Source organism: Homo sapiens, chromosome 11 (assembly GCF_000001405.40).
Source record: "Homo sapiens chromosome 11, GRCh38.p14 Primary Assembly".
Classification (NCBI taxonomy): Eukaryota; Metazoa; Chordata; class Mammalia; order Primates; family Hominidae; genus Homo; species Homo sapiens.
Window position 1 is genome coordinate 55733287 of NC_000011.10, and position 1389 is coordinate 55734675.

A 1389-nucleotide genomic window follows, 5' to 3' on the forward strand; every position below is an offset into this window, starting at 1 on the left:
TTTTTGGTGCCTGGGAATATATTGTTGCCAAATAAAAACCCAAGATGTTAAGGTGGCTTTGGAAATGAGCAGTCAGTTTTGAACAAAATATCATTGAAATCTTAATATGTTTTGGAGGTCTTTGATAAGATTACAGTTTAGAGATTCCAGGTGAGTGAGAAAAATATTATTGGAAGTTGTAGAAAGGAATATTCTTGTTATGTAGGGCAGATGTTTAGTAATGCTATTGCCTATAGTAATTTGAAAAGTACAAAATGTGCCTAATATTCTGGGTTATCTAACAACAGATATTTTCTAAGTGAAATGTTTAAAGTTCTACCTGGTTTCTCCTTGAAGATTAGAGTAAGGCATTAGAGGCAAGAAACAAACTAAATTATTAATGTTGAAAGATCCAGGATTTGATGGCTATGAAATCTCTTAGCCTCCCATAATGGGAAAAGTTGGCAAAATTAAGAAATGGTTTCCAAGGATGATCAAATCCATGGCATTGCTGTGAAAACATGATTTAAAGATGAAGTCTAGGATTTGACTATAAAATCTTAAAAAAAAATAGAAAAACCTCAGAAAGATCTAAAGTGGTATCTCAGAGTATATTCACACAAAAGACTCTCAAAAGAGATTAAAAGTGCTCCACCTCCTCTATCAACAACAAGGCTTTTAGGAACCTTAAGTGTGCCATCTCTGAGCCATCTCATAGAAGCCCAAGGTAGGGAAAGACTTATATCTAAAAGACTTAAGGATGTGTTTTTATCTCTAATATAGTGGAATTCAATAAGATTCATAGAAGATCCACAAAGTTCATTTATGTATATATGTGTACATGTATACACACACACACACATATATACACAAACACACACAGAGAGAGAGAGAGAGAGATCACTACCTTAAATTGAAAGACACAGTGACTGAAAAAAATTGAAAGGGGCCTATGAGTTATCAAAATTCTATTAGAAGAAAACAAGCTAAGAAACCTGCTAAGTTGCAAATATGTCCCACATTTCATGAGAAGAAAGGATGATTCAGACCGTGGTACCAAAAGTCCAGAGGTGAGAGCTAAGGAACCGAGACTAATTAGGCTAATTATTCCCAGATTTTGCAATTTAACCAAAGAAATTTCTAAATTTCCCTGGCTGGACTTCAGAATTCCAATGGATGAGTAATTCCTTTGCATATGTTGAACCAGAATGTTTATAGCAATATCTCTTACCAGTACCAACATTGTATGCTAGGTTTATAGAGTAACCGTTACTTGTCTCCTTAGTTTCATAGGTTGAGAGAAACTGGACTTGAGAACCTCTAATTAAGACAATACATCCATGGAGCTTCCTTTATATTTGGTCCTGATGGTGATTACATATTGTCAACTTTAACAAAATGCTGTGGTGG